General features: G+C 40.8%; 1 protein-coding gene and 1 pseudogene across 5 annotated transcripts, besides 1 other annotated feature; both read left to right on the forward strand.

Annotated features, from left to right (window-relative positions):
- Window positions 2,307-3,506: an enhancer, noted in NCBI's record as "MED14-independent group 3 enhancer chr2:108980844-108982043 (GRCh37/hg19 assembly coordinates)". NCBI's record gives its function as "activates an origin of replication core promoter dependent on BRD2, BRD4, P300/CBP and CDK7 cofactors, and independent of MED14, by STARR-seq in HCT116 cells {active_cell/tissue: HCT116}" and the evidence as "EXISTENCE:reporter gene assay evidence [ECO:0000049][PMID:35650434]".
- Window positions 5,035-5,859, forward strand: GMCL1P2 (GMCL1 pseudogene 2; annotated as a pseudogene).
- On the forward strand, window positions 15,873-26,908 carry SULT1C4 (sulfotransferase family 1C member 4). 5 transcript variants are annotated; one of them, XM_017003807.2, is made up of 7 exons: window positions 15,873-16,425; window positions 19,631-19,806; window positions 20,304-20,401; window positions 21,012-21,138; window positions 21,335-21,429; window positions 24,111-24,291; window positions 25,239-26,908. In XM_017003807.2, exons 2-7 carry the CDS (start codon window positions 19,782-19,784, stop codon window positions 25,349-25,351), a joined length of 639 nt encoding a protein of 212 aa, XP_016859296.1. In that variant the 5' UTR covers window positions 15,873-16,425; window positions 19,631-19,781; the 3' UTR covers window positions 25,352-26,908. The 5 variants fall into 5 exon arrangements, 3 of the variants coding, with proteins under 3 accessions (XP_016859296.1, NP_006579.2, NP_001308699.1); NM_006588.4 differs by having other exon boundaries at window positions 19,681-19,806; NR_135776.2 differs by lacking the exons at window positions 20,304-20,401; window positions 21,012-21,138.
- Window positions 26,909-27,122: the final 214 nt, after the last annotated feature.

Here is a 27,122-nt window from a genome sequence, read left to right on the forward strand (position 1 = left end):
TGAAACTGACTCACGAAAAAATAAAAAACCTAAATAAATCTATCATAAGCAAAGAAAAAGTCAGTAATGACACAACTTCCAACAAACTCATGTTCAGAGGGCTTCACTAGTGAATTCTAACGAATAATCACAGAATTAGCAACAATTATTCTCAAACTCTTTCAAAATTAGGGCCAGGCTCAGTGGCTCATGCCTGTAATCCCAGCACTTTGGAAGGCCGAGGTGGGCGGATCACCTGATGTCAGGAGTTCGAGACCAGCCTGGCCAACTTAGTGAGACCCCATTTCTACTAAAAATACAAAAATTAACTGGGCCTGGTGGTGTGCGCCTGTAGTCCCAGCTACTCAGGAGGCTGAGGCAGGAGAATCGCTTGAACCTGGGAGGCAGAGGTTGGACTGAGCCGAGACTGTGCCACTGCACTCCAGCCTAGGTGACAGAGCAAAACTCCATTCTGAAAAAAAAAAAAAAAATTAGAACAGGACCCATCCCTGGATGAGTCAGCTGGTAATGACTCAGGGAAGGCAGAGCTTACTTTCAGCTTCTCTAGATGGCTGGACTCCTGTTTTTGCTCTGAATTTAAATGGGACAGGTGGCTAGGCTCTGCTATCTGGCAAAACTACTGGCTGAGCTCTGCCATCAAGCCGAGCCAGTCAATTGGCACTACAATGGCTTCTAATCAAGCAGGGCCACAGGGTGTATTCCCTGGTCAGATGGTACTGATATTTGAGTTCAGCAGCTAAATAGTGTTGCAGGAGGGACCCTGAGGTTAGGTGGAGTCACTGATTGGGATGGATGGAACCAGCTGCTATGCTTAATAGCAATGGATGGTTGAGGTTTGCTGCCCTGCCTAAATGAGTCCTTGGGGTGGGCTTTGAGGTTGGGCTGAGAACTGTTTAAACTCCTGTGTGTGGCAGATCTAGCCTTGGCTCTTTGCCAAAGTTTGCTGCATCAGTTGTCCCCCTCTGTGGGTGGGGTTTGGGGATGGGCTTTGAGGATGCTTCAAATGCTGTTTGAACTTCTGGGTGTGGCAGAACTAGTCCCTACCCTTTACTGAAATTTGCTGCAGTGATCATCTTCCTCCTTAAGTGGAATCCCTGGGTAGGGTCTAAGGCGAGTCATGGAGGCTGACCATCTAGGGACTCAAGCTAGGTAGAGCATTACATCACATCTGTTAGCTGGTACCTCTGATTGGGCGCCACCACTGACAGGTACACAGAGTTACCACCAATACTGCTTTGTTACCACCTCCTTGCTTTGTTTCTACCTCACCCCAAGTGTTCTAGCCACGCTGTTTCCCACTGTATTTCCCATGAAGTAAAACTGGAATGGGCTTTCTGGGAAGCATCTCAGAAGACTAGGGAAGTTGGATGTCCTCCTCTGGCTCTACTTCTCACTGTAGAAATCATGGGTCCTGGGGAATCCCCTCTGTGTGGCACTGTGCCAATTTGGGGGAGTGGAAAGGGTGACATGGTTAATGTGAGACTATTTCTATTATCTCTTTAATGTCGTTTTTATTCAGTTCTGTGGACAATGCAGGAAACTCCAGCTTATACCCAAAGTTTGGGATTTTTACCAAGGTGTTCTTTGTTGTCAGTTGAACTTTCTGTTGGCAGTAGTGAAGCCTGGGACCTCCTATTCTGCCATTTTGCTGATATCATCTACCTGCAGCTTTTAAAGTGTTTCACTACAGTTTCCTGAAAACCACTTCTGCTTTGGTCTTCATGATATTTTCACTGCCTTGGCTTTCAAAGCTTCGTGCTAGCTTCTCCTTTTCTCCTTTTTCCATGAAGCTGGCTTCTAAACCGGCTCTGTTAGCAACATCTACTTTTCTTTCCACAGTCAGTCAGTCATAAAATCCTGTCTGTTTTTCTTGTGTCCTGTCTTTTGAATCTCTCTTTCCTTTCAATTCCACTGTCAAAAGTCAAATCCAGGCCCTCACTGACTCGTGCCTTAACAATTGTCTTTTCATTGGCTCTCCTTCCTCCAAGGTTTTTCTCCAATTCTTTGAAAAGCTTATTGTCTTAAGCACTGCCTTGTTGCCTTTTTCCTGCCCAAAAACTTTAATGTTCAGGCACCCAAGAGTGTCTGATTACTGCTATGTCCCCAAAATATATATAACTACCACTTATCAATTTAAAATATAAATAAATAAGCTTCAGGAAGACTTAGTTGAATAGGAAACATTCTTGGATTTTTTTCTCATATTCATAGTTCTTTAGTGATTCTGATAAAAGAACCTATAGAGAGAAAAAGTAAGCACCCGAAAACAACCAAAAGTTGTTCTCACTTAGAGGATACCTCAGAATCCTAATCCTGTTATCCTTCATTATCTAATTCTCTTAAGTCTGCTTTTAATAAGAAAGATTTGCAAATTCTCATCCCCTAAAATGTTATTTTCCAATATATGCAATTTTTCTAACATGAATCACTTCTTTTCCCTTCATTTGACCATGGCAGTAATCTAAAGGAGAGGACAGAGGAAGAAAAGCAAGGGGAATCTCAGATCTGTTTTACTATTTGCTAATATGTAGAAAATGAAATAAGTAGAGGTTCCTCTTCAAAGGTACTTTCCTCCAAGTCTAATTGAGAATGGATAGTAACCTCTCTTAGAAGCAAAATTTAGTCAAAGTCCTGTGCTAATATTCTTAAACATCTGCTAGCCATAATAAAGAAATCAATATACTCTGTGTTCTCAGCTCCCACATTCTAGCCTAGATATTTGCCCTGGCATGCCTGAACCGGTCCAAGCAAGCATTAGGTCATAACCAATTTCTCTTCCTTATTTGGAAGTGTTTTTGCCTCTCTCAGCATTCCGCAATTTGCCTGTTTTGGGAAGTTCTAAGTTGCTAGCCAATCAAGTGGAGTACAGAATGTGAGGTCCTGTTCCAGCCAAAGGAAACCAGACACAGCAGTAGGGTGGACACGTCAGGTTATAAATGACCCCGTCTCCTTTGTTCATGTGTGCTCTCATGGCAAGACTGCCAGAGAACAGCACCCTTTCTGCAGAAAGTAAACTAGCCTTGCTGAGAGATCCTTTGTCTCAATGTTGATTTTTGCGACACCGAGCACCCATTCCCAACATAATACAATCATTAAAATTAGACTTACAGATTTTCTGCAAATTTCTAGTTATCTTTGCTAGCCTTGCTCCTTATTCCCACTTATAATCTAGTTTTTCTGTTCATCTTTTGCTAAAATTGCCATTATAGATTTCACTTTTTACTACAGAAAGTTTCTCTAACTAATATTTTATAGATAATTAACGTACCTTGATTTTTTTTTCTTATATCCCATCAGGAATCACTTGGACATGAGATTATAGATATGGCACAGAATAATGAAAATACTGGAAAAAGACAAGCTCCCATTCAATCTCAGCATTCAGTGCTTGAGTGGGTAAGACCAGTCCACTTCGGTATCTGATGCAAGCAGTTTCCCATACAAAATCATCTGATTTATAAGTAACTCAGCCACAGGAACCAGCAAGGAAATCTTTCACACCCTGAATCCACGCCCCAGTCAGAACACCTAGAAATGACCAGCATCCATTACTTTTTACCCTTCTTCAGCGAATGCAAAGGAGTAACTCATATATGGAAGTGTCTTATCAGCTGTAGATACTAACTTGAACAACCAAGGGACTGGTATTTGTTGTTTATTTAATAAATTTTCTGACCCATTCCTTCCACAAAGCAAAAGGAGATATTTATCTCCAGTGTTCGAAGTTGGGAGATAGAATGCATCTGCCACAGAAACAGTTCCGTGACTTGCAGCACTTGAAATGTTAGTATTTGTTAGTGTTTGGGAAGTAGGCATGAGTTAAATGAACATTAAGATAGATGATCAGGATCTTAGCCCTACCACTCAAGCTATGTAACCTTGGACAAGTAACTTAATCTTAGCAATCCTCATTACTAAGAAATAAATACAACCAGGAATCGTGGTGCATGCCTGTATTCCAGCTACTCAGGAGACTGAAGTGGGAGGACTGCTTGAGCCCAGGAGTTTCAGACCAGCCTAGGCAACACAGTAAAACCCCATCTCTACAAAGAAAATAAAATAAAATAGCCAGGCACGGTAGCTTGCACCTGTAGTCCCAGCTACTTGAGAGGTGAGGCAAGAGAATGGCTTGAGCCCAGGAGTTTGAGACAAGCCTGGGCAACATAGCGAGACCCTGTCTCAAAAAAAGAGAAGAAGAAAGAAAGAAAGAATGCTCCCCAAATGTCAGATTTCAAAATGTGTGATAAATGCAAGTGAGGTTGGGCAAGAGGCTTCTCCCACTCTAGTAGTGGAACTGGAGGCTGTGCTTGAGGAGGGGTTGGTGTAGGGTCAGAGGCTATGGAGTGGGCTCAAGGGGGCAGCTGGCATCCTGGAGTGCCATGGTACCAGCAACCCACAGACTCACTGAGCCCAAGCCACAAGAGCAGGCCATAGGCCAGGACACAGAGAAGGCCCCGTGGCAATGATGGCCTGGTAGCTGAAATCCCCTTCTCTAAGGAAGCTGGATGAGGGTACCAGAGACCATCCACCACAATATGTCTTTAAAGAAAACTGAATGGCTTAAGGTGGCATTTGGCTCTCTGAATCAAGATGATGTCTTAACAAAAGCCAGAGAAGTTACTGCTATTTGAGCAGCAGCTCATATGCTGGTAGCAGAATAGCTTAACTCAGCAATGTAGTAAGAAATGAAATATATGATTAAGAAGAAAACCATTGTGGCCGGGTGCATTGGCTCATGCCTGTAATCCCAGCACTTTGGGAGGCCAAGGCGGGTGGATCACCTGAGGTCAGGAATTTGAGACCAGCCTGGCCAACAATAGTGAAACCCCATCTCTACTAAAAATACAAAAAAAAAAAAAAAACTAGCCAGGTGTGGTGGTGGGTGCCTGTAATCCCAGCTACTCAGGAGGCTGAAGCAGGAGAATCACTTGAACCCAGGAGGGGGAGGTTGTGGTGAGCAGAGATTGCACCATTGTACTCCAGCCTGGGCAACAAGAGCAAAACTCTGTCTCAAAAAAAAAATAAAAATAAAAAAATAAGAAAACCATCTGTGGCTCTCACACATCAATAGAGAGGTATGACTCAATTCAATTTTTTTTAGAAAGGTGCAAAATGTGTCTTAAATGGCTTCTAAACAAGTTAGTGACTCACCTGTGTGGAACTTTCTGGAAAACATTTTAAAATCTCATGCAGCAACTCCTCTATGTTCTAACCCACTTGTAACATATGGAAATAGTGCGGTTCTTTCTCCTAGTGTTGTCTTGAAATAAATCATTAATGCTGTCTCTAAATGAAGCAGAGGCCAGGTTTCCCAGGTGTATTTAATTTTTTGAGGACAGTGTCTTCCGTAAAACCAAAGAAGGAAAAGCATTTCACCGGTGAGGCAAATCAGACTAGGTCACACTATCAATGATCTGTCATCACTGGAATCTTCAGCCTGGGCATCCTCCATATACAAACAGCAATGATTTGCCATGTTCAAAGAGCAGAAGACCATGATGTTGAAAATGAGAAAGTCAAATAAAGAACACCTTGAAAAGAAAGTATGAGTTGTAAAAAGCATGCCAAGGCTGGGGAGCTCAGCTGGTAGACAACAGAGTTTAACTTCAGCCTTGACTTCTTGCCATGTATCAAGTGCAGCGTTAGTTTCAAGTACAACACATAGAATCATCATGTAGCAGAGTACATCTGGAATTCTTCCAGAGCAGTGAGAAGTTTATTTGCACTGGAACTAGTAAATATCATATCTTCACCCTTAAAAATAATCAGGAATAAAGCGTGATGAAAATGAATGGGAAACTTCTCATTTTTCTCTTATGTATCTGCTGTAATTTTCTATAAATAACATTCCAAAAGAAAAAATACAATGAATGTCAGAAATGCATAAGCATTGTCAGGAAGCATATGAAAATAGCATATGTCAGGAAGCAAAACAGGATCTCAGTCACTATAGTAGCTGCTGTATTATTTTTGGCATGTCTTTCTATATGGATGTGGAATTTAAACAAAGAAAGAACTAGAACATAGGCAAATATCACAGTGTAAATGGTATATTGTGGTACACCTTTTTTTGTTTTTTTGAGACAAAGTCTTGCTCTGTTGCCCAGGCTGGAGTGCAGTGTCACACTCTCAGCTCACTGCAACCTCCGCCTCCTGGGTTCAAGCAATTCTCCTGTCTCAGCCTCCTGAGCAGCTGGGATTACAGGCATGCGCCACCATGACCAGCTAATTTTTGTATTTTTAGTAGAGACGGGTTTTACCATGTTGGTCAGGCTGGTCTCGAACTCCTGACCTCAGGTGATCCACCCGCCTCAGCATACCAAAGTGCTGGGATTACAGGTACAAGCCACTGCGAATGGCCAGCTGGTACAAATTTAAAGCATTGCCTCTCCCCAGGACGTTGATCTGGCACACCAGTTCCAACAGGCCGGCACAGATCCTTTGATCACCTGAGTGATCACATTAATATTCTACCTTTTTGACCTAACATGTGGCATCCATTGCCCCAAAACTAGATTAGAGCTTGACTCTTTTTGAAGCAATCTGAAATCAATTGTTTTAAAACTTTCCCAACATACAGGAAAACTAAATATCCATTCCTATTCCTAGGAAAAACCTACAGCACACTTCCCATTATTTTTTTGTCATGTCCTTCTTAGTGTAACAATTAGAATTGAATACTCCACAAATTCTGAATTTACAAAGTGCCTTCCCTAAACCATATATGCCTCTTATTTTGAGTTGATACCATATTTACCAAGTAATTTAAGGGGAGAGCACCAAAAATTCTTTGCATTGTGGTAATTCGATGTCATTGGGTAAGATCATATACTTAATATTATTATTTACCATTTATTACATGAGGTTCAATTATTTGTTCACATTGCTGCCTCCCACCGCTCTGTCATAATCTTCACAAGGGCAACCACTATGACTTATTTTTTTCTGCTTCCTCATTACCTTAGAATATACTTGATACATAGTAAACAATATGGTTAGGTATAAATGAAGGAATGAGTTACATTCTACGTTCATACCTTTCTATCCTGTTGCCCTCAAAACAGACAAAGCATACTAAATATAATGCCATTTCATATATATCTTTTTCCATCTTACAGTCTCTTGCCCTATTCCAGCTAGTTTATGAGATAAGAAATGTCAATGATGATATTATATCTTTTTGCCATAATCACAGGATGAATAATATACTTCCTGATCTAGGACCATGAACACTCTGAAGCATCCTTTCCCAGCAATAGCAAGCGATGCACAGTAGGTGATGCTCTCCAGATGTCTTCCATTTTGAAGCAAGTGAAAAGCACAGTAGCATTCACTCTGTACCTGCCGTACATACATCAGGTACACAGGAAGTGTTGATGAGTGAATGATGGAAAGGTGAGTCTGCAGGCAACAGCAGTAGTCTTTCTAGGGAACAGGACAGGGGCTTTGGTATAAATACATTTCACAAACAAAGCTCCAGCTGAAAGTCCTGTGCAAAGGATGTGATGGGAAGTTCTTTTGTTTCTATCCGTAATGAAAAACTGTCTTGAACATCACCTGGCACATTAGTAAGAAGGTGGCAGTAGATGACAACAGAAGCTTAATTCTCCCCAAGTTTAAAATGAATCCATGATTATTTATTAAAATGTAAAACCACCTCTAACTGCACCCAGAGATGTTCTATTTGTAAATTTCCTTTCAGCATCTTACGTATTTTTTACATAAGTGAGATCACACCCCATGAAGCTTACATCTTGCTTTTTTCTTTTAATATAACAACCAATTCCCAATTACCTGGCTCATAAATTCTTCAATAACAAGAGAAGCTGGAAGCTCCTAGGGCAATATTGAGTATGTCTGAAACAAACATGGTCAATTCTATCTCTTCTTCATATTACTTTCCCTCTGGATTAAATGTTCAGGGAGAAGGTGTAGATTTTAAAATTAGACTTCAGAACATCGGTGTCGCTGGAAATTTTGTCTGAACTAAAGAATCAGACAGTGGCTCCAGCCAGAGCTCTCTGCACTTCCAATACCTCTGAAGATGGTGGGGAAGAGCAGAGAAAGAAGGAGTTCTATTTATTTAAAAATGATTTTACTTTGAAGACCAGTTTGTAAAATAAATATTGGTGTAGCATAAGCTTGAGATGAGTCACCTGGGGCCTATAAATATTGATATAGCATAAGCTTGAGATGAGTCACCTGGGGCGTTACATTTAGTATGCTTTGTCTGTTTTGAGGGCAACAGGGTAGAAAGGTATGAATGTAACTCACTCCTTCATTTATACTTAGCCATATTGTCTACTATGTATCAAGTACATGCTAAGGTAATGAGGAAGCAGAAAGAAATAAATCATAGTGGTTGCCCTTGTGAAGATTATGACAGAGTGGTGCGAGGCAGCAATGTGAACAAATAACTGAACCTCATGTAATACATAATAAATAACAATATTAAGTATATGATCTTACCCAATGACACTATCCCTGTCCATTCCCTGCCCTGTTCCTCCTCCCATCCCAATGCACAGTAACCTCTGGAAGACAATACCTGGAGGCCTAGGGCTCTCAATAAAATGGCTATAAAAACTGTTATAGGTGGACTCCATGATATTATAACATATTGTTATTCTGTCAGCTTTTAGCATACATGTCATTTGTGAGCATCCTTAGTCATCACAGAGGTCAAATCAAGAAGTAAGAATCTTTGTGAAAGGCAGCTGTTGATACTTAGGGCAGTGGCCAAATTTCCTGCATTCAAATACCGGTAATGTCACTGATGGGGTGTATTACCTTGGACAAGTTACTCAACCTCTCTGTTCTTCTGTTGTATCTTATATAAAATGGGAAGAATATTAGTATCCACTTCAAGTAGATGTTGTGGACAGTAAATGAATTATTACATGTAAAGAGTTTAGGAAGACACCTGCAACATTGCAACCCCTCCTCAAAGAGATACAATTAACACAGAGGTAGGAATCCGAACACCAGACTCTTCTGATCTCTCATTCATTTGTCCAGAACAAAATTACAGAACTTTCCTAGCTCATGTTTCCTGATATATTATAGTGACCTCATAATAATTCATCTCTCACTAAGATGTTAGAAGAAAATCAACTTTGAGACACTTTGAATCTCCAAAAGTTTCCCATTATATTTAAATTATAAACTGTTCTAATTTTTAAATAACTTTCATATTATAAAATAATATATACTTATTGAAGATTCCAGATGTATATTAAGTCATATGTCATCCCATCTTCTAGAGATAACTTTAACATTTCAGCATACATTCATCAAGCTTTTCTACACTTTTTTTGTTTTTGTTTTGTTTTGTTTTGTTTTGTTGTTGTTTTTTAGACACAGTCTCGCTCTGTCACCCAGGCTGGAGTGCAGTGGCGCGATCTCAGCTCACTGCAAGCTCCACCTCCTGGGTTCATGCCATTCTCCTGCCTCAGCCTCCCCCCGAGTAGCTGGAACTACAGGTGCTCACCACCATGCCCAGCTAATTTCTTTTTGTATTTTTAGTAGTGGGGGTGGTTCACCATGTTAGCCAAGATGGTCTCGATCTCCTGACCTCATGATCCACCCATTTCGGCCTCCCAAAGTGCTGGGATTACAGGCGTGAGCCACCATGCCTGGCCACTACACATGTATTTTTATGGTGAAGTATTTTTTGTTGCTACGTTTTAAGTACCATTGCAGGCTGGAAAAAGTCACTTTGTAGTGGTTCAGAATGAGCAATTAAATGACTATGAAAAGGTCTGACTGGTATTGTACTTTCTGCAGGGCTCTGAAAAGTAAAGCTAGATGTCAAGACAAGTGATAAAGACTACCTCATCACTCACATTGACCAGTTACAATGTAGCCAAAGAACATTTTGTTTTCAGTGCAATTAATAACCCATGTGGTTCCTTGTAACACTTTTTAAAATAATAACCTAAAGTAAAAGAAATATGCATTAATTTTCTCTCTAATGGCCTTTCTAAACCTCTGTGAGGCCCTAATTTGATCATGGCACAGTACTTCCTGATCCTGGACACATACCCAGGACCATTTCCCTGTAATTCCTAATCCAGAATCCACTACTGAGAAATCCCAAATGTCATCTTTCAATGGTATGATTTACTAATGAGATGTAAAAGTTAAGGATAATACAAGTTTTTCATACAGCTAGGTACATTCAATTTTCTTTTTACTCTGAGATTATGCTCTCACACTTGATGTTAAAATGTCCTTCTTAATGAAATGGAAGTGTGATTGTAAATTTTTTTGGAAATATCCTTACTTGGAAAAATAAACATCAGGCCCCATGTTTTTTACATTAATTTATGAAATACATAAGTCAGTGAGCCTCCCCTTAAAAGATATCTTCTTTTAGTAGTGCTTTTACATTTTAGAAATTTCTTTTTTTTTTTGAGACAGTCTTTCTCTGTCACCCAGCCTGGAGTGCAGTGGCACAATCTTGGTTTACTGCAAACTCCACCTCCCGGGGTCAAGCAATTCTCGTTTCTCAGCCTCCCAAGTAGCTGGGATTACAGGTGTGTGCCACCAAGCCTGGCTAATTTTTGTGTTCTAGCAGAGATGGGGTTTTACCATGTTGGCCAGGCTGGTCCTGAACTCCCGGCCTCAAGTGATCTGCCTACCTCAGCCTCCCAAAGTGCTGAGATTACAGGTATATTTTAGAAATTTAATTGAAAAGAAACGGTAAGAGAATATGACATACATGAGAACTGCCTAGATACCTTATTATTAGTGACAATGTTGCTGTTGTCACTATGGCTACATTCTTCTCCTAGGGACATGGAAAGATTGGACATCCCCACCTCTGAAGTTAAGGCATGCCAAATGGCCTGCTTGGCTAATTAAATATAAGACAAAGTTATATGTATTTCTCATGGGTAGAAATGTTAATTAGAGCATGGCTTACTTTTGCCATGCCAATCAACAACACTCCAGATGGGGCAGGGTGCCAGGCTAGGTTTCACAGTGAGAAGCCTGTACTAAGGGATCAGGAACAGATCTCAGGTGACCCATGATAGACAGGCAGCACGAGAGAGAAATAGACTTATGCTAGTAGCCACTGAAACATCAGGACTATTTGTTACCAATACTGAAGAGTAGAATTGCTTTTCAACAGAATAAAAAATCTGAGGATATAAATTCCCCTACAATTTAAAAAGAAGCAAAAGATATGAACACATGCTTCACCAAAGAAGGCATGTTAATGGCAAATAGGCACATGAAAAGATGTTCAATCTCATTACCCATTAGAGAAATACAAAGTAAAACCACAATGAGATACCACAGAACACTTATCAGAATGACTAAAAAAAATACGGACGATACCCGAATACAAAAATACAATTTAACTGGATCTGTAATACATTAATAGTGGGAATACAAAATGATACACCCACTCTGGAAAGTAATTTGGCAGTGCATTGATAACATTAAACTCACACTTACTACGTGGCCCAGCAATCACACTTCTAGATATTTACCTTGAATAGTGGTTGGCAAACTACTTCCACCGGTCAAATCCAACTTTTATTTTAAGAGTGTTGTACAACCGGGCGCAGTGGCTCACACCTGGCTGCTTCCTGCTGGTTGTCTGCTCTCAAACCCTGTCTCCTGATAAGATGTTATCAATGACAATGCGTGCCTGAAACTTCATCAGCAATTTTAATTTCGTCCCGGTCCTATGATCTCGCCCTGCCTCCATTTGCCTTGTAATATTTTATTACCTTGTGAAGCATGTGATCTCTGTGACCCACACCCTATTTGTACACTCCCTCCCCTTTTGAAAATCACTAATAAAAACTTGCTGGTTTTGCGGCTCAGGGGCATCAAGGAGCCTGCCGACATGTGATGTCTCCCCCGGACACCCAGCTTTAAAAATTTCTCTCTTTGTACTCTTTCCCTTTATTTCTCAGATCGGCCGACACTTAGGGAAAATAGAAAAGGACTCATGTTGAATTATCAGGTGTGGGTTCCCCCAATAAAGGTGGTGCCATCTCCACAAAACAAGCTGGGTGAATCTCCAGGCCCAGAGGAGAGGCTGGCAGAGATGCTAACAACTGGAAAGTATGAAGTTTTCCCCATGAGCCAGGGAAAAGAGGCAAGTGGTCACCCAGCTCATGTGCAATTCTGAAAGGCTTTCTGCTTCAGGCATGTTTCTAATCCCACTGATTGAGCTCCTGGAGTTTTTCTGTTTTGGAGTTAGACTTGGCCAGAACTGCTCCCCTACTTATGGTTGACAGATGCAATACAGGATGCCCACTCACATTTGTATTTCAAATAAACAACCAGTGATTTATTTTGAAGAATAAGTATATTCCAAATATTGCACAGAAAATGCATGTACTAAAAATTAATTCACTGTTTATCTAAAATTCAAATTTAACTGGGCATCCTGTATCTATATTTGCTACAGCTGGAAGCTCTACATGACCCAGCATTTGACACAGCTTTTCATTTTTCTGAGAATGTAAGGGGTTCTTAGGTTATGTTTTAAGGAATTGTCTGAAATTATAGATTGCCTACATCCTTGCTTCATCTCACTAAGTGCTTACAGTTACCTCCAACCTCTGAAGCTGATTAAAGTATTATAGCAAAGAGTAATATAATTCATTTGAGTTTCATTTTCTCCCTACTCAGCTCCTGGAATAGTGTACTGCAAACAGAATGGCCTTAAGGCCATCTAAATAGAGGAAGGGGGAAAAGAAGTTATGAATAAACCATATTTATCAATATCTGAACAATCTGGATTTGATTCCAGTTTTAATTATGTGGACTTGTTAGTTCTTCCTCTTGCTTCGGTTTCAAGTATTGAACAACAAATAAGTCATTTACAATACCTCTAAGCTAAATATTGATTCAAAGAACAAAGACCATTACAATTCAACTTTTTCAACACAGGCTTAGCTCACTCTCCAATGGGTATCTTTTTTTTTTTTGAGACCGAGTCTCGCTCTGTCACCCAGGCTGGAGTGCAGTGGTGCAGTCTCAGCTCACTGCAAACTCCACCTCCAGGGTTCAAGTGATTCTCCTGCCTCAACCTCCTGAGTAGTTGGGATTCCAGGCATGCACCATCACGCCTGGCTAATTTTTCTATTTTTAGTAGAGTCAGGGTTTCGCCATGTTGGCCTGGCTAGTCTCAAACTCCTGACCTCAGGTGATCTGCCCACCCTGGCCTCCCAAATGCTAGGATTACAGGCATGAGCCATCGCGCCTGGCCGGGTGTGTTTTAAAACAGTGTGCCGAGTCAAAACGTCTTTTAGACATATTCCTTTTTTTTAATTTTATTTATTTATTTTTTTTTTTGAGATGGAGTCTCACTCTGTTGCCCAGGCTGGAATGCAGTGGTGCGATCTTGGCTCACTGCAAGTTCCGCCTCCTGGGTTCATGCCATTCTCCTGCCTCAGCCTCCCGACTAGCTGGGACTACAGGCACCTGCCACCATATCCGGCTAATTTTTTGTATTTTTAGTAGAGACGGGGTTTCACCGTGTTAGCCAGGATGGTCTCAATCTCCTGACCTCGTGATCCACCTGCCTCGGCCTCCCAAAGTGCTGGGATTACAGGCATGAGCCACCATGCCCTGCCTACATATTCCTTTCGTAAAAAGCAAACAAACAGAGACCTGTTTAAGGGTAGTAACCAGCATGCTGGATTTTACTAACAAAAAAAGAGTTTGGAAACCCCAGTTACAAATTTTGCAAATGAATCACATTTGAGGCCTGAACAAGTTAGTAGTTTGCAAAAAGGACATCTAAAGCGCGTTAAGAGTTGGAATCTCCTCTCCATGCTCAGAAGCAAACAGTGACAGAGTTGAAAGGGAGGTTCAGGGAAGAATTAGAGGGGGAGAGTATATTAGCTTTATCTTGGGTACCCAATATATCCCAAGATTATAGGATACCTTATTTACATCCAACATTACATTAACCCTGTGAGATTAATAAAAAACGAAAGGCTCAGAAGAGATAAGTATTAGAAAAGTTACACAGCTATTAGGGGGCAGTTTAAATTCAAACCCATATATTTAGAATTCCAAAGCAATGCTTGTCAAATATAGACTTAGCACCAACTTTATTCTTATAATCACTAAATATATTTATTTAATTCTCCTAACCTCATGAGAAAGTACTATTGAGTAAAAACATTAAGTGAGAATAAGAGCAGTGTTTGTAGTCAAGATCACTTTTCAAATTATTTGGAACTTCCCATCTTCCCTGGATCTATTTTCAATCCCAGTCAGTCATCTTTGGGTCCAGAAGCATATCCTCCCCCATCTCCCAGCCCTCCCCCTCTAGCACACAACGCACTGGAGAAAACTGCTAAGGCATTGCTGAATATCTACCACTCTACTCTGATGGCACACAGGGCCAAAAAGATTATAGAATAAAATCTAACTGAAAAATTATAGGTGATTTTTATAAGTCTGTTTAAATGCATATGCATCCCAGGCATTCCACCTGGCAGTCTCTGTCTCAAGGGCCCATCCACCTCACCATGGTCTGGAGGGAGGGGATGAGGAATAGGGAAAGCCAAAGAATTGATCTTTTCTGAGTTTGCATCCAGAACATGGGCCACAGAGAAATGGTGAACAAAGTCACCCATTATTATTAACAGCTATGATTTATTCAACATTTCCCTGTTGCCAAGCATTAAATAAGCTGTTTTATCTCCCCACAACCATGAGGTAGATAATGTTAAGATCCCCAATTCAGACCTGAGGAAAAGCGTGATATGAAACAGAGAAAGATTCTGTAACCTGCCATTGCCCACAGCTACTGGGACTTGGCACAGGGTTCAAATACAGGCAGCCTGACTTCTCTCTGAAGGATGTCAAGCCACAGCCACCATACTCACCTAGTCCCCACATAATGATGGCCCAAGGAACTCGCTTCCTCAATTTTTGCTTAGTTTTACTCATTCATTCTTTCGAGAAATAGAAGAATGCCAGACACTAGGCATACAGCTATCAAACAGTGAGAAAACAACAGGCCCCATTTCATGTGCCTTAGAGTGTAGTGAAGGAGACAGAAAATGCCAACAAGTAAACACGCAAAAACTAACTGTCAATGGTTGCTCTAAAGGAACACAAAGTGCCATGAGCAAGGAAATAGGAGGGACCTACTTGAGATGACATAGAAAGTCAAAGAAGGCTTCTCCAGAAAGGGGGCATCAAAGCTGGGACACGAAGAAAGAGAATCAGACAGCCAGACACACAAGAGCCGACAAGATCTCCAGAAGGAGTGCTGCCATGGGGAGCAAGTGTGGCATGGCCCTGGGGTGCAGGCCAGGCCGGGGGCAGGGACTGAAGCAAGTTGTGAAATTTCTGATTATCAGGGGCAGAATGGATTCCTAAGGCAGCCACTGTCTTCTGTTAACTCTGGAGTTTTCTGCATCCCTTTTGCTTTAAATGAGGCATACATGTTTTCATAGCTGTGATGAAACCCCTACAATTCTCCAGTTTAGCATTATTTATTTTACTCTTAAAAAATAACAAAGCTGACCCTGGCAGATGTTTGTACTGGGAGATTCAGATCCATCCAGGCCCCCACTGTTAATAGCCCACGGGAAAGTCCCTGCAGTCTCTCAGGGAAGTCATTCTGTGTAGAATCTGTAATTTCACAGGCAAGTCCTGCAACTTTTTAATTGTTTAAAATTCCCAGAAGGAATAATTACTGAAATTATCTATGAAGGGTTTAATGGACACAGACATGAGAGCTATAAACAATGTGATACTATGTCCTGTTAACTCACAGAGAACGGAAGGGCTGGAACGGGACCCAGCCAGCAGGGTTTGTGACCGCCTCTGCTGTGACGTCACAGCCTGGTGAGGAGGGGGCTGCAGTTCCTCAGGAAACTGCCAGTGGACAAATTCATAAACAAGAGCTCCAGTTCCCTGGAACCTGAGTCGGGAGACCTGCAGCTCACTTTCTCCCTGTTTGCTGGCCAGCAGGGTTTGTGGCCGCCTCTGCTGTGACGCCACAGCCTGGTGAGGAGGGGGCTGCAGTTCCTCAGGAAACTGCCAGTGGACAAAGTCATAAACAAGAGTTCCAGTTCCCTGGAACCTGAGTCGGGAGGCCTGCAACTCACTTTCTCCCTGTTTGCTGGCCCAGACAGGCCTGTGCTAGAGGGCTGGATAGTGTGGTAGTGTGGTGGATAGAGTGCTGCCTCTATCCACAACGCAGCCATATGCTGACTGAAGATAACTTTGTGTCTGGAAGAGCCCTCTGATTTCTTACACTAATGGCCTTACACGACATGGAGGATTTTACATTTGATGGAACAAAGCGCTTAAGTGTCAACTACGTGAAGGGAATTCTTCAACCGACAGACACCTGTGACATCTGGGATAAGATCTGGAACTTCCAAGCCAAGCCTGATGACCTGCTTATTTCTACCTATCCTAAAGCAGGTAGGTGGAAGGGCTTGCAGGGGAAGGGGAAGAGGAGAGTTAGGAAGGTAAGTGGAAGTATGCATTAGTCATGAAATAAAGAAGTTGATCTGGAAAACTCTGGACAGAGTGATATGGCTAAGGAAAGTTACTAGTGGAAACTGAAGCTATACCGAAACATACTAAAATGACATACAAATTTTTAGAATTCAATCTTCCTATGATACTATGATGTACTTCCTTTTTTTTTTTTTTTCACTTTCCCAGGAGAGAGTGAAAACAGTTAAGAGCAAAAGGGTAGACTTGTTTATTTATTCATTCCCAATCTAGGCCCTTATTGTAGATCTTGTAAAAAGCTGCTTTGAGTGTGTGAGCTAGAAAGGTGATCCTGAGTCTGATTTGGGAAAGAAATAGGGGAGCTTTGGTTCTGCAATGCTGATATCACCTCAGCAGCCCTCCCATCTCAGGGTCTGAGAACCATCCTTCTGATTTCCACCTTCCTTTGTGGTAAGTTTTGAACCAACTGCCTTATCTCAACAATCAGTTTAACAAAGTTGTCTGTAAAAGTAGGACTAGCTTAAGCCGAGCCACCACGTCATAAAAATTGGGTGATGATGAGGTGGAAATAGTTCTCTATAAATATTTTTGCATATCTACATATCTACTAGAAATACATTACTGGGTCCACACACAAATTGTATATACATTTGCTCTTTGCAAAATCAAGCTGTCAAAAACTCTTGTTATACACACACAAACACACACACATCAAAAAATCTAAACCTCAGTATTTTCTGAGACTGTTCAAAATCCTCTTTTGTTCTTATCTCTCAAGATCCTGACAGAAGATTCTGCAGGCACATGGAGGCCTTGGTCTCTTCTTTGTCCATCTGTTTCATTTTGGTCCTGATTTCCCAATCTTACTCATCAGGAGCCCATTCAGGATCAAATTTTTCTGAATGTAAATTTCTAAAAGTAGCCACTGGTGAGGATCACATCTCATCATCTTAATTTCATTGACAATTCCACTTGATTATCAATTCAATACATAAATAATCTTTTCTCTATCTGCCAAACGCAAGTACAAAGATATGGTTCATTTAGGTTTTTCATGGCATTAATGAGGTTTAAGCAATTCAAAAAGCACACTAAGAAAATTAAATACTTGCCATCTAAAGTAATATTTAATCATAACTAAAACCATATACATTAATGAAGGCTATTTTATTAGAAGGAAGAAGAAACAAGCATAGATGGCAAAAATAGTTCACCCTAAATTTTTAAAAGAATAATACTCTGAATGACACAAGAAAAAAATACATCATAGAATCACTGGCCTCTAGAGAATAAATTGAGAAGTCATTCCACTCACCCCGGAGCCTCTAGCAACATTTGAATCTGCCCTCATGTTGGCTCATGTCTATAAATTCATTCAATTCATTCATTATAGACATTCAGTGTTATGGCTATAAATTCCCATAAAACTAGTACAAATGGCTGGACTATTCTTTGCATGGATAGCTAAAGATATCTTGGCCCTTTGTCCTGTAATAAAAGTTGCTGCCAGAAAATACAGGAGACCAACTACTATAAAATATAAAATGTAATTTAATTTTTTTCTAACCTATGCCCTTATTCTAGGCCTTTAAAAGCACTAAATTGAGAATATGGGAAAAGGAATCTATAGAGTTTCGGCCAGATAATACAGGAAAGATCAACCTAGATCAGGATTCAGAAAGCCATCCTGGCTAGGCATGGTGGCTCACACCTGTAATCCCATCACTTTGGGAGGCCAAGACAGGGGGATCTTTTGAGGCTAGAAGATTGAGACCAGCCTGGGCAACATAGGGAGACTCCTATGTACAAAAAAAAAATAAAAATTAGCCAGGCATGGTGGTGTGCACTCACAGTCCTAGCTATTTGGGAGGTTGAAGCAAGAGGACCATTGAGCCCAGGAGTTGGAGGCTGCACTGAGCTAGGATCCCACCACTGTACTCCAGCCTGGGCAACAGAGCAAGACCCTGTCTCTGGAAAAATAAAAAATAAAAAAAGCCATCCTAAAATAACTCAACATCCTCCTAACCTGGATTTTGCCAGAACATCTGGTGCAACAGATCTTCATCAAAGGGTGAAGATTATGTTGATAGCACAATATCACTGTATCAGTCAGGATCAGTGCAAGACACAGACAGACTGAAGCTGGGGGATACCATTCTACCTATGGCCACAGTGGCAGTGGTTGGGTCTAGGGCACTGGGCCATGGAACGTGGAATGGTCTCTGCAAAATTTCTATCTGCTGGGGCTACTATCAGCAGCCACCACCTCAGGAAGGATGACTTCTATCTCCCCACTGCCTTCCAAAACTCAGGCTAATGCATCTCACTGGAGGGATCTAAATAGCCTTCAGAATCTTAGTGGCAAAGGAGTTTAGGGAAGGCCTTTTACAGCCTTTCAGCCCATGAGATATGGGGGAAACAGAGAAAGGCGAAAAATTGAATACTAAGTGCTAATGGTCAATATCAAGTTCAAGCCCTAATGGTTCACTCATTCAGCCAACAAATACTAAGTGTCTCCTACGCTATGCAACTGGGAAAAAGAGAGTTTGAAAATCATGTAGTCATTTCTCTATAGCAGATCACAATTTGGGGAGAATGTCCTTTCTAAGGACAATACAGCTAAATAAATAGAACAATAATAACAATCCAAATTAATAGTTGTGACAGAAAAAAATAAATGTATATTTATCAGTCTAATGTCCATTCAAAATTGGAGTATTTTTTTAAAATCATATTATGATAATAAGATATAAATAAGGAATGCTATCTTCTGAATCCCATTTAAAACCTAGCTTTTAAATTCACATAGATGGTCCAGGCATGGTGGCTCACACCTATAATCCCAGCATTTTAGGAGGCCGAGGCGAGCAGATCACTTGCAAGCAGATCACTTGAGCTCAGGAGTTCCAGATCAGCCTGGGCAACATGGTAAAATGCCGTCTCTACAAAAAGTATAAAAATTAGCCAGGGGTGATTGTGTATGCATGTAACCCCTGCTACTCAGGAGGCTGAGGCGAGAGGATCGCTTGAACCCAGGAGGCAGTGAGCCAAGATTGCACCATTGAACTCCAGCCTTGATACAGAGCAAGACCCTGTCTCAAAAAACAAAACAAAACAAAACAAAACAAAAGACATAGATGTTCTAACAAGTATTTGATCATATTTTAAGGAATGTACTATACTAGATGTCTATTCATCTTCATTTTACGTGCACGTAAGGAACAACATGGACTCAGGAGATAGTGGAATTAATACAAAATGAAGGTGATGTGGAGAAAAGTAAACGGGCACCGACTCATCAACGATTTCCTTTCCTCGAAATGAAAATCCCATCCTTAGGATCTGGTGAGTATAAATAGCCACACTTCACTACAGTCCTAAAATGCACTTAGGATTTTTACTGTCTTTGCACCTTTCGAAATTATAGGCTTTCAAACAATTATTGGTAAGTTTCATGGTTTTGTCTTTTTTTAACTGTGTCTGGCCATTGTTATACTCCAGACATTTTCTAATGGAATTACTGTTTGTACAAAAGTGAGTTAAATTTTGTTTCTCTAGTTAGAAATTAATTTTACTTCAAAAGAATAAGCTCAAGTAAGATAATCCTGGTGAAAGGGTTTGAATTTTTTAGGTTCTTATTTATTTGGATGACTGTTATGGTTAGGAATTGTTCTAGTCAAAACATCTATTCATAGGCTAGACGTATTCTCTCACACCAGATCTACAGTTACAATGTTCTTATAGATGCTTTGAATTGTAGTAGTAATAATGGAAGCAGCAAGACTTGGAAGCAAATAGATAAAAAAAAAATCGTAGAAATTGATCGAAAACCAGTTTTGCAGGTTTGGAACAAGCTCATGCAATGCCCTCACCACGGATCCTGAAAACACATCTTCCCTTTCACTTGCTGCCACCATCCTTGCTAGAGAAAAACTGTAAGGTAAAAAAGCAAAAGGAATTCAGAGTTGTACTCCTTAAAACAACCTTAGTCTTCCATTTCCTCTTAAAACACTTCACTTGTTAAATATATATATATATACCTCTTCACAATAATCAATATGCAAATTAATATGAATCCTAGCCAGGCACGTTGGCTCATGCCTGTAATCACAGCATTTTGGGAGACTGAGATGGGTGGATCAGTTGAGGTCAGGGGTTCAAGACCAGCCTGACCAACACGGCGAAACCCCATCTCTACCAAAAACACAAAATTCACAGGACGTGGTGACACATGCCTGTAATCCAAGCTACTCAGGAGGCTGAGGCAGGAGACTCGCTTGAACACAGGAGGCAGAGGTTGCAGTGAGCCAAGATAGTGCCATTGCACTCCAGCCTGGGTGACAGAGCAAGACTCCATCTCAAAAAAAAAAAAAAAAAAAAAAAAAAAAAGTCTCCCATAACCAGGATGACAAGAATGCAGCCTCAGAAAAAATGAACTGTATGAAATGTATCTACCCTAACATGACTTGCCTGGGCAGTAACAGCAAAAAAAAAAAAAAAAAATTCCTGTTTTTTTGCTTCTTCCCTTCCCCTCCCCTCATCATTCCCAGATAATCTATGTAGCAAGAAATCCCAAGGACAACATGGTGTCCTATTACCATTTCCAAAGAATGAATAAAGCTCTTCCTGCTCCAGGAACATGGGAAGAGTATTTTGAGACTTTTCTGGCTGGGAAAGGTGAGAGAATTTAGCTTTGTTTCCCTTCGTTTCTCAAAATCTCCAAACACCCTAGAAGGAAAGAATCTTTTCTTTTGACCAGCAGGGGCTCTGCCTTCTTTAATGGAACATTCTCACTTCTCTTCAGGAATTCTCCTTTCAGTGGTATAATAGGACCTCTGTGACTCATTGTCCTGTTTTCCATCCCATCCTCCAGTGTGCTGGGGCTCCTGGCATGAACATGTGAAAGGATGGTGGGAAGCCAAAGACAAACACCGTATTCTCTATCTCTTCTATGAGGACATGAAGAAGGTGAGCACAGTGCCATCTAAGGTGTACCCACTGGACCATAAAACATTTAAGTCATAATGCATTGACCCCATCAGGGACTCAGATTGATGCGGGGAACCGAAAATTGCTGCACTTCATTGGTTACAGCTGTCATTTGTCAAAGTGCACATGGCTGATCATGAGTTTAAGTATCACACAGTCTCACCTGCAGCTTCCTGGTGCTCCCAGGGATGCTGCACATTTCCCTTACAGGCAGGTTATTACACAATATGGATGGTGTCATTTTCTCCCTTGCATGTCTATTTTAAAATGCAGTTTAGCAGGAAAAAAAATCCTAGCACATTTTGGTTTCTTTGGTTTTTGGGTTTTTTTTGTTTTTGTTTTTGTTTTTGAGACAGAGGAGGAGTTTCACTCTGTCGCCCAGACTAGAGTGCAATGGTGCGATCTCAAGTCACTGCAAGCTCCGCCTCCCGGGTTCAAGAGATTCTCCTGCCTCAGCCTCCGGAGTAGTTGGGATTACAGTCGCCTGCCACCATGCCAGCTAATTATTTGTATTTTTAGTAGAAACCGGGTTTCACCATGTTGGCCAGGCTGGTTTTGAACTCCTGATCCCAAGTGTTCCACCCTCCTCAGCCTGCTAAAATGCTAGGATTACAGGCATGAGCTACCATGCCCAGAGTTTTTGTTTTTTTATTAGCACTGAGGAACATAATACTTTATTTATTTATTTATTTATTTATTTATTTTATTTATTTTTTGAGACGGAGTCTCACTCTGTCACCCAGGCTGGAGTGCAGTGGCGCGATCTCTGGCTCACTGCAAGCTCCGCCTCCCGGGTTCACACCATTCGCCTGCCTCAGCCTCCCACGTAGCTGGGACTATAGGCACCCGCCAGCACGCCCGGCTAATTTTTTGTATTTTTTACTAGAGACGGGGTTTCACCGTGTTAGCCAGGTCTCAATCTCCTGACCTCGTGATCTGCCCGCCTCGGCCTCCCAAAGTGCTGGGATTACAGGCGTGAGCCACCACGCCCAGCCAATAGCTTTAAGAAACTTTAAGAAGTGGTGCAATGGAAAATACTAATGATTTAGATTCAAAATTATTGAAATCAAGTTCTGTCAATTCTTGGTAAAGACACTTAACATCTTGGGAAATTAGTTTTCTTAAATGTAAAAATGAAGATAATAATATTTACCCATTCAAGATTTATTTGAGGACTAAATGAGATAATATCAGTGGATGTTTATTGTAAATAATCATCTACTCAGCTATTTTCTGTGACCCCACTAAATACAGAGATCTATACAGAATTACAGTGTCTGTTCTTGAATTGGTCGTTGAAAGCCTTGATACTCAACAGGTGCTTCACAGACTAGTTGCATGAGCTACTGGAGCCTGCTGTAGGCCTGCTAAGTCTGGAGTTTTATAAAATTCCCAGGAGATTCAAGCACACATCACCATTTAGATGCACTTCTCTAAGGTTCAATCACTGCTGGGCCTTGTGATATGAGTGAGTTCTACAAAATATCAAAGGAGTGGAAAACACAGACTATTTTCATGTGGTTTTTAAAATAATTGTTATAGCTCTAGGATTCTCAGAAGCATGATCAAAGAACCAGCAGAACAACCTATGAGGTTATCAGTATAAAATTCCCTTCTTTGTGTTTACTTTGTTTTTACTTGGTACAAAAGTGTTGTGCCACCATACGAAGACTCCAGGCAGATGATGTTTCCCTACAGCATGTATCATAGCCATGTCAGAGAAAGGATATGTCGCTGGGAATGGGGCTCTTTTGTTTAGGTAGACCCTAGCGTATTATGCATGCCAGGAAGAAACTTTATCGAAATAGGTAATCTAACCTCAGAGTCCCTAAAACTTTTAAAAATATTGCTGTGATCTTGTTCTTGAATGTCCCCTCACTGTAGTTCCCACAAAGCTCACAATTCTCAGCACTCTCTGATTCCTAGCCTGTGTGAGGTCAATTAAATGAAACATTTTTGACATACAAGCTTTTAAAGCAGAAGCCCACTATAGACACAGTGGTCAGGGTAAGCGCTTCCACTTTCCTTCCCCACCCGCCCTCTGCTCCTAGAGATGGAGGCGTCCCACAGCCACAGTGATGTCACAAGGTTGTATGTCCCTTTGATGCGAAATCAGTAGCTACACTGGAACTCAGCTCCTCTCAGTTCCACTTGACTTGGTGGTCTGGTACCAGAGTCACTAGCCATGAGTGCCTCTTGAGGCATGCAAAAAAAAAACTTCTCTCCTCTCCTCCTGCCATCACTGCAGTCTGGGGACATTTCTGTCAATGTCAGAAACAGGATGTAGCTTCCTCTGTGTCAGGTCTTAAATCTTCTGCCCCTGTGCTTCTGAAATGCCTTGAGCAGGGCTTGTGGACATAACCCTGACACATTCCCTTAGTGAACCATTCACTAGGCACTGTATGTCATTGTCTGGTGAATGTTTCACTAACCCTACCCAGTTGATTACATATTAAGGGGAAAAAATTATTAGTGATTCCAATTACTAAAAAAAGAACAATATGGGTCATCACGTTAAAATGAGTCACTTGAGCATTTGTTAAGATTTGTTTTTTATTTTAGCTCGTAATATGTTACCGGTTACTGTCATTAATCCATCATAATATTCTTTTTAAACTAATTCTATTAAATCATTACTTTTCTTTTGACTCTGATCATAGAACCCAAAGCATGAAATTCAGAAGCTGGCAGAATTTATTGGGAAGAAATTAGATGACAAAGTTCTAGATAAAATTGTCCATTACACTTCGTTTGATGTCATGAAACAGAATCCAATGGCAAACTATTCATCGATTCCTGCTGAAATCATGGACCACTCCATTTCTCCATTCATGAGAAAAGGTTTTTATAGTTTATTTTCATTATAATCTTAAAAGAACTGTCAAATATTTTAAAGCATTTGAGGAGTTTTCTTTCCTGTGTCTAGGAAAAATAATATCTGTAATAAATGATTTGGGGAAAAGAAGTATTTAAGAAGCCACTGATAAAATGAAAATCGCGTTTAATTAGCCAATTATTATTAAGATTAAGAGAGTAAGATTTGATGTCCAAATCCAACCACTTATCCCCACTTTCCCTTAAGAGTTCTGGCTAATAACATGAAAATATATAGAATTAAGTCAGATAGGGCAAAGAATCCATTTTATAGACAGTTCTATGCTATCAGATTCAGTCATTCAAAGGTACTTACTGAGGGGCTTCTATGTGCCAGGCACTGTTCTAGCCACTGTTTGCAGCAGTGAACAAAACACAAAAATTCATGCCTGCGTGGAAATTATATTCTAGTGATAAGCAAAATAAAGAATATATAGATAGATAACATTAAGAAAAACGAAACTGGGAAAGGTAACAGGGATTACAATTAGAGAATTTGTGGGGGGAGGTCTTATTTTTTCTTCTTCAAATGGTACCTTGGGCCTCCCAGAAATAGGCCCTTCTTGGTCAGTTTACAGCATGGGAGCTACAGTCATGAGCACCCACCATGCTTCAATGTGCAACAGGGCACAGGGAAAGACAAGAAAGCCCTTCAGGCCTGCTATTGTAACATGGCGGTCTCGCCCACCCACTAATGCAACCAGGTGGCAAGAGACTCTCCTTGTCTCACAGATCAGACAAGAAAGTTGTCTTCTCTTCAGGATAAGGAAGTGACAGGATAGCAAGAGAAACGTTTTGTCCAATACTGCCCTTCCTAGAACATGGCATAGAAATCATCATACAGAAACAGGAGAATAGGGAAGCACAGACTCTTCCAACAGCTACTGAACCTCTCCCACATAACTGTATTTCAGGGGCAGTGGGAGACTGGAAGAAACACTTCACCGTGGCTCAGAATGAGAGATTTGATGAAGATTACAAGAAGAAAATGACTGATACCAGACTAACTTTCCACTTCCAGTTCTAGTAAGGAAGAAAAACTGAAAATGTTTTAGTTTATTACCCAGTATATTTGGGTAATAATGAAAGTTTAATTCTCATAACAAATGATATCAGATTCCAGTTATCAGAATAGTTTACTGTGTTTGCTCTTATTCACTCTACTAAAAAATTATTTTAAAAGGCTGGAGGCAAGGTGGTGACAGGCAGCAGGGTGGCGACATGGAGAGAGGGAAGCTCAATAAATCACTAGGTACAATCCTGGTATCATTGCCAATTATCATCATATTTACATTTTCTACAATCATGTGCTTATTAACATATTGGAAATGCTTCAGTCCTCACATGATAATACACTAACATTTTCAGATTAAGTTTTGGTTCAAGTTAATTTTTTTTTTTTTTTTTTTGAGACGGAGTCTCGCTCTGTCGCCCAGGCTGGAGTGCAGTGGCACGATCTCGGCTCACTGCAAGCTCTGCTTCCTGGGTTCACGCTATTCCCCTGCCTCAGCCTCCCGAGTAGCTGGGACTATGGGCGCCCACCACCACTCCCGGCTAATTTTTTTTTTTGTATTCTTAGTAGAGACGAGGTTTCACCGTGTTAGCCAGGATGTTCTCGATCTCCTGACCCCATGATCCACCCGCTTCGGCCTCCCAAAGTGCTGAGATTACAGGCGTGAGCCACTGCGCCCAGCCGGTTCAAGTTAATTTTTAAATGCATCACTAACGTGTAAATAGTGACTGTTTGTTCCAGCAATTTTTTGGTGGTGAAGTAACCATCAAGTGATTCAGGTTCCTCTTGGAACCCTCCAAGAAAAACTTCAGGGTCCTAGTGTAATACATCTGTCCCCATCTCTCACTGGCGTATATATTTAACTGGACTCACTCTCCCACCCTCAGCTAATGCTACAATCCTGGAGTCACCTCTTGACTCATCTTTCCCATTGCCACCACAATCCATTCTAATATGTCAGAAAATCTGTCAGTTTTAATCTACGAAATCTCTTAAAATATTTCCGTCTAACCATTCCTTGTTTTCCTTCTATTTCTATAGCCACCCTTCTGGTTCACAAACCTTTTACTTCTTGCCTCAACTAGTGTAATAGCTTCCTAACCCATTTCTCTCTATTTCAGACAGATGGCAAGGTTATTTTCCTTAAAAAGACTCTTATTATGTTGTTCCTTAGCTCAAAATCCTTCAATGGCTGAACTTTCACTGCCTGAAAGATAAATCCCAAGATTTTAGCCATGCATTCAAGAGCAGCTATAACCATAATGACTCCAGCCTTCACACTTCCAGCTTCACCTTCCAAACCACCTCCATATTCCAGCAAATTAGCCTACTTACTGGGTCCTAGTCACATCTTACCACTTCCTACCCTCCCAGTTTTATTTATACCAAGCCTCCTCCTGAAATTTCTCTTCCTTTCTTTCTACCTACCCAAGACATACCACGTGCTTCAATAACCAGTCCCTTCCTCCTACAAACACTACAACCTGGAAAGCACTCTTGCTTTTCTGAAGTCCTCTATACTTAGTGTAACTCTTCTGTGATGAAGATTAAAGTGTATTATGGCAACTCTCATGTTTCTGTATTGTCTCTCTTTGCTTATTTTAATTTTTACTTTTTTTTCTCCAAGACAGGGATATTGCTGTATATTTCACTGCACGCCAAACAGTATATAAAACACTCAAATATAAATGGCTGAAAAAACATGTCAGGGAAATTTTTAAAAGCTAACTCTTATATTTCAAGTAGATAGTCCCTAAAAGCACGCTAATTTATAGCTATGATGTTC

This window comes from Homo sapiens, chromosome 2 (genome assembly GCF_000001405.40).
Source record: "Homo sapiens chromosome 2, GRCh38.p14 Primary Assembly".
Classification (NCBI taxonomy): domain Eukaryota; kingdom Metazoa; phylum Chordata; class Mammalia; order Primates; family Hominidae; genus Homo; species Homo sapiens.

Bases quoted from the DNA above. Each gene is read 5' to 3' on its own strand.
- SULT1C4 (NM_006588.4), top strand. From the start codon at position 16,257: ATGGCCTTACACGACATGGAGGATTTTACATTTGATGGAACAAAGCGC. The intron at 20,402-21,011 runs GTAAAAAAGCAA...CATCATTCCCAG, and splicing joins TGCTAGAGAAAAACTGTAAG to ATAATCTATGTAGCAAGAAA. The intron at 24,292-25,238 runs GTTTTTATAGTT...ACTGTATTTCAG, and splicing joins TTCTCCATTCATGAGAAAAG to GGGCAGTGGGAGACTGGAAG.